The 785-nt window shown below is 52.5% G+C and overlaps 1 annotated feature.

Moving 5' to 3' along the window:
- Window positions 243-537: an enhancer, noted in NCBI's record as "tiled region #487; HepG2 Activating non-DNase unmatched - State 22:ReprW, and K562 Activating non-DNase unmatched - State 23:Low". NCBI's record gives its function as "activates a minimal TATA promoter and a strong SV40 promoter by Sharpr-MPRA in HepG2 and K562 cells {active_cell/tissue: HepG2 | K562}" and the evidence as "EXISTENCE:reporter gene assay evidence [ECO:0000049][PMID:27701403]".

The following is a 785-nucleotide window of genomic DNA, read 5'->3' on the forward strand; positions in this document are numbered from 1 at the left end:
TACCCAGCTTATATTAAGTGTTTAATAACTATTCACTTGTGTACTAGTCATCAACTACTGCATAACACATACCCCAAAATGTAGTCGCATAAAACAACATTGCTAAAGAATTGAGGGTCAGGAATCCAGGTGTGGCTTAGCTGGGTCCTCTGGTCAGGGGTGTCCTGCAGTCTGATCAAGGTATCAGCCCAGGCTGTGCTTATGTCAGGGCTCGACTGAGAACAGATCTGCTGCCAAGCTCCCTCCACCCACGGTTGGCAAGATCAATTCCCCCACGTGTTGCTGGGCCTTAGCCTGGGAAGCCGTTGTCTTCCCTCCTTTCCTTGCCACCTGGGCCTCTGCATAGGGAAGCGCACAACATGGCAGCTTGCGTTATCAGAGCCAGCGGGGGAGGGGCCTGGAGAGAGTGCAGGCAGGACAAAGCCACAGTCTTTTGTAACCTAATCCTAGAAGGGACCTCCCATCACTTTCCCCATTCTATTCATTAGAAGGGAGTCAGTCTGTCCAGCAGAGGGGATTGCAAAGACCTGTGAATACCAGGAAGCCTCATCAGGGCCACGTTGGAAGTTGCCATTCACACCTAGACTGGAGGCTGCCTGTGAGAAGGGATGGGGAGAAGGGGCTTTGTCTTTTCCTTCACGGCTCTGTCTCTAGCACCTAGAAAAATGCCTGGCACGACACAGGAGCTCCACAAATGTTTGTCCAGTGTATCAGAATGAGGGTACCTGGGGCAGGGGCTGGATAAAGAGGAGCTTCGTCTCCCCTCTATCCCCCTCTGGGCACCC

Source organism: Homo sapiens, chromosome 1 (genome assembly GCF_000001405.40).
Source record: "Homo sapiens chromosome 1, GRCh38.p14 Primary Assembly".
NCBI classification, from domain to species: Eukaryota; Metazoa; Chordata; class Mammalia; order Primates; family Hominidae; genus Homo; species Homo sapiens.